This window comes from Homo sapiens, chromosome 1 (genome assembly GCF_000001405.40).
Source record: "Homo sapiens chromosome 1, GRCh38.p14 Primary Assembly".
Lineage (NCBI taxonomy): Eukaryota > Metazoa > Chordata > Mammalia > Primates > Hominidae > Homo > Homo sapiens.
In genome coordinates this window covers 3843593-3857458 of record NC_000001.11, presented here as the reverse complement: position 1 = coordinate 3857458, position 13866 = coordinate 3843593, and the positions used below count along the sequence as shown (strand labels likewise).

Genomic DNA, 13866 nt, shown 5'->3' with positions numbered 1-13866 from the left:
CATTACCCAGAAGGCCTGGGAAAAGTGAGGCCCGACGCGGTCTTGTGCGCAGGCGTCGCCCCACGGACACCACATTACCTTACTCAGAAGGCTCAGGAAAGCAAAGGCGCGACGCCACCTGGTGTGCCCAGGTGCCGTGGCCCCGGAAACTACACAACCCTGAGGGCCAGAGTAGCGGAGCCCTCCCCTTGTGCGCAGGCGCGGCCTGGGGTGGGGCGGGGTCGCGCACGCGCAGAGGCCCTGGCCCAGGGCTGGGCTTGGTTGTCATGAGAGTGGAGGCTGCGGCCGGGGCTATGGGCAGAGGTGGCCGGGTCTGCTTCTTCCCTGTCACTGCCGCAGCAGCTTGGGGTGCAAGGCGGCCTGGGGCGGCGGAAGGGGCGCCCCCCGAGTTCCGTCTGAGGAAGCGGCGGCTGCCGAGGAAGTCCACGAGAGCCGGGTCCCGCACGCCCCTGGGGTCCGGGTGCTGAGGCGCCGCCTGGCCGCCTCCCCGGGCCGCGGCACCGCTCCGACCCAGCCGCCCTCTCCACCGGGGCCGCGGCAGCGCCAGTCGGGGCCCTTCCCTCTAAGCAGGTACCTTCCGGGCCGCTGCGGCGCCGGCCCAGGGCCGGAGTGGGGAGCGGGGCGCGGGGCGCGGGGCGCGGGCGCCGCGGGGGCGCGGTCCCCACCTGGGAGCTGGGTACGAAGCCTGGGTGCGCGGTGCAAGCGCGGACGGTGTGGAGTTAGATGCCGGCCTTGCTGTCGCCGAAGAGCCGGCGCGGCCCCGTCGTGCCGTATGCCGGGGAGCTCAGCACGGGTGCTGGGACCGCCTGCCCCGGCCGGGACGGCCCATTTAGCGTGGAATATTGTTTTCAGATCCGGCTTTTCCTCTTCTGGATGCGTAGCACATAGGGGGCCAGTTTCAGATGTGTTCTGCTGAGCAAAAGTTTGAGGAAAATTGCTCTGTCCCTATAGAGATTAAAGTCTGATGGTTGGTTGTTTTTTGTTTTGGAGTTTGTTTTGTTTTGTTTGCACTTAAGTTCAGATTTCTCTGAAGCCCTTTCAGTCGCTAAGATGACTTGATCAGAAACCCATAAGCCTTTGAGACGGTCTCGCTCTGTCGCCCAGGCTGGAGTGCAATGGCACGATCTCAGCTCACTGCAGCCTCCGCCTCCCGGGTTCAAGCGATTCTCCTGCCTCAGCCTCCCGAGTAGCCCGACTAATTTTTTTATTTTTAGTAGAGACGGGGTTTCACCATGTTGGCCAGGCTGGTCTCGAACTCCTGACCTCAAGTAATACGCCCTCCTCGGCCTCCCGAAGTGCTGGGATTACAGGCATGAGCCACCGCGCGCAGTCACACTTAAAAGTCTTCTTAAAAAGAAAATCAGAGACAAGTTTTGTTTCCTAGTCTTGTAACAAAATGGAAGTTGCTACACTGAGTTTCCGTTTAATTTATAGTTAATTGCCTTTTACCATGCCAGCACTAGGAAAAGTGTAGTGAGGGATGAGACCGCCATGGAGTCATCGCTGCCTGGGGAGAGATGTACTCTGGCATTTGTCGGGATGTCGATGGCTGCCCCTGGGACAACAGGGATCCCTCATGCCTCTGGTGAGGAAGACCAGCCAATAACTGGATGTTCAACAGAGCTTTGCTTCTTCCCAAATTGTTAATGGTGATTTTTATAGAGCCTAAAAGTGGCATCCTTCAGTGACATTCCAAGTATCTTATGTAACACTTGAAGGTTTACACAGAGGGGACCCTAGGGTACAACTGGAAGGTCTTTGGGAGGGGGTAGACTAAAAAAGGAATCCTTTTCAAATACCAGACTGAGGTAATAGCATTGCCTCCACAGTCCCTGTGCATTTCTCTTAGCTGGTTCTTAAATGCCAGTACTTTGTTTTAGATTTGTTGGGGGCAGTATAGCATACTGGAAACACCCTTCTGTTTGACTGAAAAGGTCCTATATTTATGTCTTCGAGCCGTAACAGAGAGTGTTGGTTAGGTTCAGAGACTAGCCAGGCTCGGCGGCTCACGCCTGTAATCCCAACACTTTGGGACACTAAGGTGGGAGGAGTTCAAGACCAGCCTAGACAACACAGTGAAACCCCATCCCTACAAAAAAAAAAAAAAAAAGTAGCTGTGCATGGTGGCATGTGCCTGTAGTCCTAGCTGCTCAGGAGGCTGAGACAAGAGGATCATTTGAGCCCGAGAGTTCATGGTTACAGTGAGCTATGATCACGCCACTGCAGCAGTACAGCCTGGGCAACAGAGCGAGAACCTGTATTAAAAAAAAAAAAAAAAAAAAAATCGGGGCTGGGCTTATTGGCCACGCCTGTAATCCCAACACTTTGGGAGGCTGAGGCGGGTGGATCACCTAAGGTCAGGAGTTCGAGACCAGCCTGGCCAACATGGTGAAACCCCATCTCTACTAAAAATACAAAAATTAGCTGGGTGTGGTGGTGCGCACCTGTAATACTAGCTACTTGGGAGGCTGAGGCGGGAGAATCACTTGAACCCAGGAGGCAGAGGTCGCAGTGAGCCGCGATCACGCCACTGCACTCCAGCCTGGGTGACAGAGTGAGACCCTCTCTCAAAAAAAAAAAAAAAAAAATTTGGAGACTGGAACCCAACAGCCTGGGCACAAGAGGTATTTTCAAGGTGGAATAGGGAGTGACAAGCCCTGCCCTGAAAGATGATGAAAGGGGCCTGGCATGGTGGCTTATGCCTGTAATCCCAGCACTTTGGGAGGCCAAGGCGGGCAGATTGGCCAGGAGTTCGAGACCAGCCTGGCCAACATGGCAAAACCCCGTCTCTACTAAAATACCAAAAAAAAAAAAAAAAAAAAATTAGCCAGGCATGGTGGTGCATGCCTGTAATCCCAGCTACTTGAGAGGCTGAACCACAAGAATCACATGAACCAGGGAGACAGAGGTTACAATGAGCCCAGATCACGCCACTGCACTCCAGCCTGGGTGATAGATTGAGACTCTTGTCTCAAAAAAGGAAAAAAAGCTGATGAAAGGATTGGAGGGCTTCAGAGCTGAAGGGTATTAACTTTGAGCTTTGATTGTTTGGCTGGACTTCAGAATTCAGGACAAGAAGTGAGGGTCAGGGGAGAGTTGGCGCATTGATCCCTAGATGGGGAGCCCACCAAGAGCTCTGGAGTTAGGACATGGATGGAGATGACTGGAGCTGGGCCTGAGGCACGTTCACACAATAGGAACTTAGGACTTGTCTGAGGGAGGCGCTTCAGGTGGGGACACCAGGTGGTTGCTGTCTAGAAAAGACAGTGGGATCAGAAGGAAGGGCAGGCCTGATAAGACCTGGCACACTGTTGGATGGGGAGTGGGTGAAGAGAGATGCTGTGGCCAAGGGAAAAGTACCTCTAGGCTCAGAGCCCATGCGACCCAGAAGTGCCAGGTCACGAAGGAGTGGGAGCCATGGGCTGTGCGTTTCTGGCATAGGTTGCCCAGAGTGCAGGTGGGGCCGTGCAGCTAACAGTGGGTTAAATCACACTCATCCTTTCAAAATTCTTTTTTTGTTTGGTTTTTTAGAAACGGGGTCTCACTCTCTTACCCAGGCTGGTCTCGAACTCCTGGGCTCAAGTGATCCTTCCACCTCGGTCTCCCAAAGTGCTGAGATTATAGGCAGGAACCACCACACCCAGCCTCATCCTGTTCTGGGGGGCTTTTTAAAAATTATTTTCTGAGTTGGTTTAGTTTTGTTTTTGTTTAATATACAGTAACATCTTGCAGTGAACTTTGTGCAAAAAATAACTAGAATCTCGATGGTTTATCATTCTATTTTAGTGCTTTTGTTCATACATTCCAAGAAACATTAGCAATAATGCCAGCCAATAATTAATATATTGAAGTGGTCCTCTTCGAATTCTCAATGAAAGTAAAAGAAAGATCTAGATCATGCATCAAGCATGTCAAAATACGTACAGTTTTATGTGGGGGTATGTTTATATGTTACCTCCTATTGGGAATTTCAATTAATAGTATATCTTATCCCAGAGAACTTTCTGATGGAGTCTTCTTTATCCTGGTTTAGTGAGGAGCCTTTTTTTTTTTCCCCCGATGATTTAGACCTAACCCAAATTGGCTTACTTAGGAGGAATCTGACTGGCTTAGTAACTGAAAAGTAACCCAGAGTCCCTGAGCAAATTGGGCTCAATGTCCTGTGAGTCAGTCCCTCAACCTAACTCTGCATGAACCTTTTTGTACTTAATATGCCTGCCTGTCATTCCTGCTCTTCCTTCTGGTCATACACATTCATTTAGCAGTTGTTAATGCTAGCGCTTACGTTGCCTTTTTCCCCTTGGTATTGTATAACTAATTAACATACTGGTTGTATTAGTTTCCTAACTAATAGAAAGAAGTTTGTGTTTATATTCTAGACATAGCAAAATATCATAAACTAGATGGCTTAAAACACCAGAAATTCATTCTGCAGGCAGAAGTCAGATGGCTGCATGGACAGGGCTGCACTCTCGCTCTGGAGGCTGTAGGGCAGGATCCCTCCTGGCTTCTTCCTAACCTTGGGCGCCTGCTGGCCATCCTCAGCCGTCCTTGGCCGGCCCGCTTAGAGATGCGTTGCTCCGGTCTCTGCCTCTGTCACCACATGGCGCTCTCCCTTTGTGTGGCTGTGTCTCTTCCCTTCTTAGAAGTCACGTTGCATTGGGCCCACCCCGAGGACCTCATTTTAACTAGATCACACCCACAGAGACCCTATTTTCAAATGAGGTCTCCTTCACGGGTACCACACGTGGAACTTCAGCGTATCCTTTTGGGGAGCACAATCCACAGCACTGGTCAAACTTTTTGGACACATATTTGGGAAAAGTCAAGATAACTTAAATGATATCTTAAGCAGAACCAGAAGCATCTATAAAAGTGTTTAACAAAAAAAAATAGACTCTTTTCAAAGAGATGGGAAAATTCTGAATACTTAGTGCATTATTGTGTGTGTTAGCAAGGCATGAACCAACCCTTTAAATGTCCATGTGTTAGTGAATTCCTTTGTTTTAAAGAAGTTTTTCCTGCTCTTATAAACAGCCCAAACGTGCAGAATGCCCCACAAGATTGGATTTGTAGTCGTCAGCTCATCTGGACACGAAGACGGCTTCAGTGCCCGGGAGCTCATGATCCACGCGCCAACTGTCAGTGGGTGGCGGTCACCTAGGTGAGGACTGGACGGGGCGGGGCTTGGGCTGGGAGGCAGCCTCGGGTCCCTGAGGAGGGTACAGGGGCTCCTTTCATTCAGAGCCTCAGATTTTACTATCACTCGGACATCAGGACCAAGGATGTCAGCATGCAGTGTCAGGCATCTCTTTCTGTTTATATTTTTAAAGAAAATATGTTGACCCTCTTTCCCTTATAACATTCACCCACACTCCCTTAAGAAGATGTGCAAATGTGGAGGAGAAGGAAGAGAAATGAGGCCCCGTAACTGTCTAACCATACTCCCTGATCACACGCTGGGCTGCACATTCTCATCAAGTTTCTGTGCAGAGATTGTGAGTGCAGCTTTTTTTGCTTTTACAGTTGGGCTCCTGTGCTGAAAGAGTGTGTGTCTAACTGTTTTTATATGACACCAAGCTTTAACCAAAAGATATGTCTTTCACATTTCTCTTAAACACGCGTATACTTTATTAAAATGTTCAATTGGGCACAGTGGCTCCCGCCTGCAGTCCCAGCTACTCAGGATGCTGAGACAGGAGGATCCCTTGAGCCCAGAAGTCCAAGGCTGCCATGAGCTGTGATAGCCATGCACTCCAGCCTGAGTGACCAAGTAAGATGCTGTCTCAAAACAAATGTTCATTAGATGAGTGTTTTGCTTGATTATTTTCCTAAAACATTGAAGTCTTTTTGCCTCTGCTGCTTTGGTCTTTACAGCTGAGCCCCTTCATGCACTCACTTGGCATCTGCCCTCCGCCCTCAGTCATGTGAATAAAAACCCACCCTCCACCCCATCCCACCTCGTCAGCTCTGTGCTTTTCATGACTTGCTTTCAAGCCTGAGAAGTTACTATTTATTCCTAACCCGCGAACGCGTAAATATGTATGGCATTTTAAATTCAGTGATATAATTCTGTCTTGCTTTTATTCAGAAGTCAAGTTGCTGAAAATTGAATGTAAATCTCATTTACAATTAAAATGTATTTTCCTTTTGGAGTTTTTGAGGAGATGCAACAAATAAGACCCCCTGTCCCTGCATTTCCCGGAAGTGAGTTCTGAATGAACTGAGAAATGAAGCAAGAGTCAAGCAGAAGGGGCCAGACAGCGCCTTTGTCACCCGCAGAGCTGGGATTGCAGGCGAGCCAGCGTCCTGATACTGCCCAGGCCGTGGCCGATGCACTGCCCATGCAGGCAGCATTAACACGGTCCAGCCTGTGGCTGGAGGGCAGGAGGAGGAGCACACCCACGGGGGCAGCCCAGCGCTCTGCCCTCTCCTCCCAGACTCCCCATGACCCTGCTCATGCCTCTCCCAGGCAGGAGCATCCCTCTGCAGAGGTCCTGTACGCTCACAGCACATGTTCCGTGTTATTTGGGGATTGAAGATTCTCAAGTATACACACAGCCACCCTTTTTGGTAGTAGTTATAAAAATCACACCAGTATGGTTCTCTTGTGCATTGACATGGTATTGCTTTAAAGGGCATAACCTACACTCACTTCAGTAACGTGCTTTCAGAGGATGTACCCAAGAAAAGGATCTGTGTGCCCTTGGTCACCACAGACTCCCACTGGGTTTGGCTCGGGGTCTCTTGACTTCCCTGAGGTCAGGCACATCGCAGAAAGACAAAGGAGGATACCCTGAAGCCGAGCCTCCCAATGACAGTACAAGGCACCCTGTTACCACAGGTCATAGAAAATGTGGGACCCTCTACGTCGGAGCTCAGGGCATAGATTGATGCACTTCCAGGAGAGACACTGACGGGGCGGTTAAAGAGATATAGGGAGACCCCCAGTGCCGTTCATGTGACCTCAGAATTCAGAGAGCCTGAAGCCTTCAGAGCAAGACGTTTTTCCAAGAAACCGTAAAGTTTGCACCAACCGTAGCCCCTGGGCATCCATTTTTTTGGTTGTCAAATTATTTTTAGTTTAAAAAATCTGTATCTGTCAATTTATCTTGAAGGGATAAATGCATACTAGCCTTTTTAGCTGTGTGGTTTCTTTTCATATGCAGCTTGAAAGGTATTTTTGATTCATCTATAAAGTGTTCATCAGCTACATTTGAGTAGCTAAATCATAGGCCCTTTTTGGAAGGATTTTTTAAAGTACAGTCCTACATCACTCAATCATGGGGACATTCTTTCTGAGAAATGCATCATCAGTCGATTTCATCGAACACCTAGAGTGCCCTCAAACCCAGATGGTACAGCCTACTGCTACACACCTAGGCTCTGTGGCATAGCCTATTGCTCCTGGGCTGCAAACCTGTACAGCACGTGACAGTGCTGAACACGGTAGCAAGTGTAACACAAGTAGGTATCTGTATATCTAAACATAGAAAAGCTAAGTCAAAATACAGTGTTGTCATCTTATGGGACCGCTGTCTCATGCAGTGCATGACTGTATACAACTTCAAAGCTTTGCCGGTTGTCTTGGTTTTCTTTAAACAGTTTTGGAGTTTTTTTTTTTTAATAAAGATTTTTAACTAATGGATTACTTATTGTCCTTATGTTCAGATAATCTCGCCATGAATGATAATATATGTGCCCTGTATTTAAAAGCAGTAACTATCTAAAGCAGCCCTTTACTGACATGAAAGACTAAAGAATTTCATTTCAAAAGTTGCTTGGTTTCCCAATTTGTGCCAGCTGCCCTCCTGCCCCAAATGTGCCTGTCTTGAACTTTTGCATTTTTGGAAGCAGTGTGGGGTCTTTGCTGACTGCTGTGATTCTCTACCCAACTCTTAGTTATTTAATACGTTGTGTTACTTTTGGGCTGGGCCCAGTGGCTCACACCTGTAATCACAGCCCTTTGGGAGGCCGAAGGGGGAGGATCCCCTGAGCCCAGGAGTTCAAGACCAGCCTGGGCAAAATTTTAGCCAGGCACAGTGGCACACACCTGTGGTCCCAACTCCTCAGGAGGCTGAGGTAGGAGGGTCACTTGAGCCCAGGAGATCAAAGATGCAGTGAGCCATAATCACACCGCTGCAGCCTGGGTGACAGAGCGAGACCTTTTCCCAAAAAAAAAAAAAAAAAAAGTTATGTCACTTTTGAGCAAAGAAGCTCCAGCATGGCCCATAGCATAGGCTTGTCTCCCTAGACCACTATGCGTGAAAGGCAGGCACTCCTTAAATATTGATACCTTGGGGCCCTTAAGCATTTGAGTTCCTGTGGAAAATCCTTTGGCTCCGTCCTGCCCACTAGTGCCGCCTCATAAGATTGATTTATCTTATGAAAAACTGCAGGTTTCACATCAGACCATTTACTAGCTGCCAAGAGTATGATTCCTATAGGGTTACAGGCAGATCAAGTCAAATTTCAATTCCCAGCTTCAGCTCCAACAAGAAAAGCTCGAGAGAACAGGAATCATGTCGCAGGCATCTTTGTACCATCAGTACCTACAGACTGTTCTGTTCAAAGTGGGTGTGTGGTTAATGCTTCTTACCTGCAAGAATGAGATGCTAGCATCTAGAAACCCTCTGCAGAAGTTGTTCAGAAAATATAAAAATGTGTTTGCTTTCAGATTTTGCCAGTTTCCACAAGAAATTGTCCTTCAAATGGTGGAGAGATGTCGAATAAGGAAACTGCAGTTACTTGCTCACCAGTATATGATTTCAAGTAAAATTGAGTTCTACATTAGTGAAAGCTTGCCTGAATATTTTGCACCCTATCAAGCAGAGCGGTTTCGAAGACTTGGGTAAGAATGAAATTTAAAATGTATCATGGCAGCTTTTAGGCTAATTCTACCTGAAAGCTCTTTTTTTTTTTTTTTTGAGATGGAGTCTCGCTGTGTCACCCAGGCTGGAGTGCAGTGGTGCAATCTCAGCTCACTGCAGCCTCTGCCTCCCGGGTTCACGCCATTCTCCTGCCTCAGCCTCCCGAGTAGCTGGGACTACAGGTGCCCGCCATCACGCCCGGCTAATTTTTTGTATTTTTAGTTGAGACAGGGTTTCACCATGTTAGCCAGGATGGTCTCGATCTCCTGACCTCGTGATCCGCCCGCCTCGACCTCCCAAAGTGCTGGGATTACAGGCGTGAGTCACCGCGCTCGGCCCTGAAAGCTCTTAAAAATGAATTGTCCCTTAACTTTTGGTCCTGTGTTATGTACTTCTATTTGGTTCAAGAGTACACAGTTTCTTAACACCTGCCTCTTATTGAATGTGCTTAAAAAGCAGCGCTATAATTTCTATGAATTCTGCTATTCAACTCTACTTTTCAGATGTGGAAATTTTCTTAAGAATGCTAATTAGATGACCAATCTGGCCAACATGGTGAAACCGTGTCTCTACTGAAAATACAAAAATTAGCCGGGCATGGTGGTGAGCGTCTATAATCCCAGCTACTTGGGAAGCTGAGGCAGAAGAATTGCTTGAACCCGGGAGGTGGAGGTTGGAATGAGCCAAGATCGCGCCACTGCACTCCAGCCTGGGTAGCAGAACAAGACTCCATCTCAACAACAACAACAACAACAAAAGAAGAATACTAATTAGAATTTGAGTTCTAGGGGTTTTTCCTAGGTTTTTCATTCTAGACTTAGCTTTTATTCAAACCTGTTGATCCTGCATAGGGGTAGTCTAGCTTTAAAAAATAAAACAATAAACATAAATGAGCCTATTGAGTTCAATCAGAGTAGGGAGCAGTTTTATTGAACAGCACATTTTCAAATTCTTCAGTTGTGTTTTGTTTTTCAGCTACGTGTCTCTCTGTGATAATGAAAAGACAGGTTGCAAAGCCCGGGAACTAAAATCAGTTTATGTGGATGCAGTAGGACAATTTCTTAAACTGATTTTTCACCAAAACCATGTCAACAAATACAACATATATAATCAGGTAAGATGCATGCAGCTTCGCCTTTGATTCTGCCCCTACCTTCTTTGTGGGATTATGTGGTCACGTATCTTTTCTTAGATGCATTTTCAAGGTGATCTTATAAGAGAGGATCTCTTCTGGGAGACTGCTGAGCTCTCTGAGCTGTGCTGTCTGATCCAGCAGCCTCTGGGCACACGTGGCCAGTGCCCACCACGAACTGGCCTAGTGCCCAGAGCTGCTGCCAGCATCACCAGACAGTGGGCTTCAGAGACTCAGTACAAAAGGAGAACGCGAAAGAGTTCATGAGAACTTTTATGTCAATTGTATGTGATGAAATGATAATATTTTGGATATGTTGTGTTAACCTATATTTTTAAAATTAATTGCATTTTTAAATTTTTTAATGTGCCTACTTAACCTTAATGACATATGTGGCTCACATCCTATTTGTGTAGGACAGCACAGTTGTAAATAAACCCTCCCAACGTGCACAAGGTAAATTCCCTGGTGGAAATTGTGGACACATGAATGTTGCATGTAATCCAGAATCTCTCCAGCTTCAGGCTGCTAATTCTTCATCTCTTCCTTCCTCCCTCCCTTTCTTTCCTTCTTTTTTTCTTTTTCTCACATGATTAGTGTAGTAGAAATCAATTGTGTCCAAAGCAATCTTGTTAATTAGCACAAGCATTTACAACTCTCCCTGCCCCCTCCAAGAGGAATGTGAGCACCCAGCAAATCAAATCTCTAGACCAAGCGGGTGAGCTGGACAAGAGCGCAAAGGTCCAATTAAGCTGCCTGGCCCCTTGCAGCATAACACGCCAGGAAGCCAGAAGAATGAGTCTTAACCCTGTTCCTTCCTCCACCCACCTGCATGTATTTACCAGCAATGACCTGGCTGTTGTCTTGGTTTTCTTTAAACAGTTTGGAGTTTTGTTTTTTTAATAAAGATTTTTAAATAATAGATTATTTATTGTCCTTATGTTCAGATAATCTCGTCATGAATGATAATATATGTGCCCTGCATTTAAAAGCAGTAACTATCTAAAGCAGCACTTCACTGACATGAAAGACTAAAAAATTTCATTTCAAAACTTGCTCGGTTTCCCAGTTTGTGCCAGCTGCCCTCCTGCCCCAAATGTGCCTGTCTTGAACCTTTGCATTTTTGGAAGCGGTGTGGGGTTAGTCTACAGTGGTTGGGGGTGCAGGATGGAAAAGTGACTCCCCACCTCAGGTGAGACTCACCAACTGGGAACTGAGCTGTGTTAACTTTTCATTGTCTAATTTCCCAAGATCCTTCAAAGATGAGCTCCATACTGAATCTCACGTGGATGTCTCATTTTGAGGCTATGTTAAAACTTTGGGAGTTTTTAGCTATTATGATTTGAACTTTTTTTTTTTTTTTTTTTTTTGAGACGGAGTTTCACTCTTGACTCTTGTTGCCTAGGCTGGAGTGCAGTGGTGCAATCTCGGCTCACTGCAACCTCTGTCTCACAGGTTCAAACAATTCTCCTGCCTCAGCCTCCTGAGTAGCTGGGATTACAGGCATGTGCCTGGCTAATTTTGTATTTTTAGTAGAGACGGAGTTTCTCCATGTTGGTCAGGCTGGTCTCAAACTCCCGACTTCAGGTGATCCTTCCACCTTGGCCTCCCATAGTGATGGGATTACAGGCATGAGGCACCGCGCCCAGGCTTTAAATGGTTAAAAATAACCATTTGGTTAGCATTAGAATACTAACATAATTTATTTAAAATTCTTTGTTAATTATTAAAAATTATTTATATTGGCATAACATTTTAACAATTAATACGCTTTGATATACATCATCCCATTTGATAACAGTGTAGGTCAGAGTTTGTTATAAAGGGGTTAAGTCCAGCCTGGGCAACATGGTGAAATCCTATCTCTGCAAAAAAACACAAAAATTAGCAGGGCATGGTGGCTCACACCTGTAGTCCCAGCTACCAGGGCAGCTAAGGTGAAGGATCCCTTGAGCCCGGGAGGTCAAGGCTGCAGTGAGCCATGATCACACCACTGCACTCCAGCCTGGGTGACAGACGAGACCCTGTCTCAAAATAAGTAAATAAAAGGGTTAAGTCATTTCAAACATTGTATATTTAATTCTGTTATTTTAACACTTTCTTAGGTTGCTTTGGTTGCCATAAATATCATTGGAGACCCTGCAGATTTCAGTGATGAAAGCAATACTGTAAGTTTGGAAAGTTTTAATTCCTAAGGAAGTAAATCTATTTATAATGGGAGGGAGTCATTTATTTTCACCCAAAAAATGTGTCATTTTTATAATCTGCATAAAATTGACTAGTGAATAACTTTCAGATGATTTTTAGGAGCTGTAGCATATGAAACTTTTCTTTAACAGTTTTAGCTGTCTCTCCAAAAGATGAGGATCATTGAACCTTGCTGACAGCTTTATATGAAATAAATCTTGTAGTTAAGGTTTTGTGTTGTTCCTCTTTCTCTCTGAGACACTAAGCAGATGTTTTGCCCCCAAAGGCCTCTCGAGAGAAGTTGATTGACCACTACCTTGGGCACAACAGCGAGGACCCTGCTCTAGAAGGAACGTACGCCAGGTAAGAGTCCTGCTCCCCATCAATGAACTTCTTTTACTTTCCTCAGAATCCTGAAAGGGTCAGTCATTTCCAAAGGATTCTGGACTTAGAGCCTCTAAATTCAGTTTAGAGCTGGATAAGCCACTGATTGGATTGTCTGAAATTTACATAAAGATTAAGGTCGCTGTTTTATTTAGCACACCTGCATTTATTTTTTTCCTTTTTTTTTGAGACAGAATTTCACTCTTGCTGCCCAGGCCGGAGTGTAATGGCACAATCTCGGCTCACTATAACTTCTACCTCCTGAGTTCAAGGGATTCTCCTGCCTCAGTCTCCTGAGTAGCTGGGATTACAGGTGCCTGCCATCATGCCCAGCTAATTTTTTGTATTTTTAGCAGAGATGGGGTTTCATCAGGTTGGCCAGGCTGGTCTCGATGGAGTCTTGCTCTGTCGCCAGGCTGGAGTGCAGTGGCACGATCTCGGCTCACTGCAAACTCTGCTTCCTGCGTTCAAGCAATTCTCCTGAGCCTGACCTCAGGTGATCCACCTGCCTCAGCCTCCCAAAGTGATGGGATTACAGATGTGAGCCACCGTGCCCAGCCACACACCTTCATTTATTGCTCAGCAGAGACTACTTCCTTTCTTGTGTTCAGGTATCACTAGAAGTTTCCTAAAATGCGTTTAGAACAAAGATCTGTCAGCCGTCCTTTGATATTTTATCAGCACAAGCAAATTCATGGTAAAAATCAAAGATATTAATGGACCCAGGTTATCAGTTCTAGAGACATCACCTTATGGCCTCTTCAAAAGTTTATTCTTTAGAGGAGTGAAAAATATGTATCACATACGTTTTTAAAAACACAATTTTGCCGGGTGCAGTGGCTCACGCCTGTAATCCCAGCACTTTGGGAGGCCAAAGGTGGGTGGATCACGAGGTCAGGAGTTCAAGACCAGCCTGGCCAACATGGTGAAATCCTGTCTCTACTCAAAATACAAAAATTAGCCAGGCGTGGTGGCGCGCACCTGTAATCCCAGCTACTTGGGAGGCTGAGGCAGGAGAATGACTTGAATCCGGGAGGTGAAGGTTGTGGTGAGCCGAGATTGTGCCACTGCACTCCAACCTGGGCGATAGAGCAAGACTCCATCTCAAAAAAAAAAACACACACCACAATTTTTACCAATCTCTCTCTACCCGTTAAAAATATTTTTTCTCACTGCTAAATTTGGCTAAAAAAAAAAATGGGTATGGGGAAAGTTCGTCGTGTTAACAATTGTAGGCTGGGTGTGGTGGCTAACGCCTGTAATCTCACCACTTTGGGAGGCCAAGGCAGGAGG

General features: G+C 46.4%; 1 protein-coding gene and 1 long non-coding RNA gene across 10 annotated transcripts in view, besides 2 other annotated features; both read left to right on the top strand.

The window, feature by feature from the left end:
- Positions 82 to 581: a silencer, noted in NCBI's record as "silent region_126". NCBI's record gives its function as "represses an Ori minimal core promoter by ATAC-STARR-seq in GM12878 lymphoblastoid cells {active_cell/tissue: GM12878}" and the evidence as "EXISTENCE:reporter gene assay evidence [ECO:0000049][PMID:35858748]".
- CEP104 (centrosomal protein 104) overlaps positions 248 to 13866 on the top strand; it is a 45126-nt gene continuing 31507 nt past the window's right edge. For 5 of the 9 annotated variants that reach the window (XM_024451106.2, XM_024451102.2, XM_024451104.2 and 2 more), the window contains exons 1-7: positions 248 to 570; positions 1458 to 1585; positions 5038 to 5164; positions 8678 to 8851; positions 9828 to 9984; positions 12108 to 12170; positions 12476 to 12552. In XM_024451106.2, coding sequence (XP_024306874.1) covers positions 1492 to 1585; positions 5038 to 5164; positions 8678 to 8851; positions 9828 to 9984; positions 12108 to 12170; positions 12476 to 12552 — 692 coding nt within the window. In that variant the 5' untranslated portion in view covers positions 248 to 570; positions 1458 to 1491. The remainder of the gene's footprint in view (positions 571 to 1457; positions 1586 to 5037; positions 5165 to 8677; positions 8852 to 9827; positions 9985 to 12107; positions 12171 to 12475; positions 12553 to 13866) is intronic. The other 4 variants (XM_047435158.1, XM_047435161.1, XM_005244815.5 and 1 more) reach the window with 2 other exon arrangements.
- LOC124903829 (uncharacterized) lies at positions 5740 to 7648 on the top strand. Its single transcript, XR_007065439.1, has 2 exons — positions 5740 to 5773; positions 6157 to 7648. It is a non-coding gene; the product is annotated as an uncharacterized LOC124903829 (long non-coding RNA).
- Positions 6361 to 6861: an enhancer, noted in NCBI's record as "H3K4me1 hESC enhancer chr1:3767162-3767662 (GRCh37/hg19 assembly coordinates)". NCBI's record gives its function as "activates a minimal SCP1, AML or CMV promoter by ChIP-STARR-seq in primed H9 embryonic stem cells {active_cell/tissue: H9 hESC(primed)}" and the evidence as "EXISTENCE:reporter gene assay evidence [ECO:0000049][PMID:30033119]".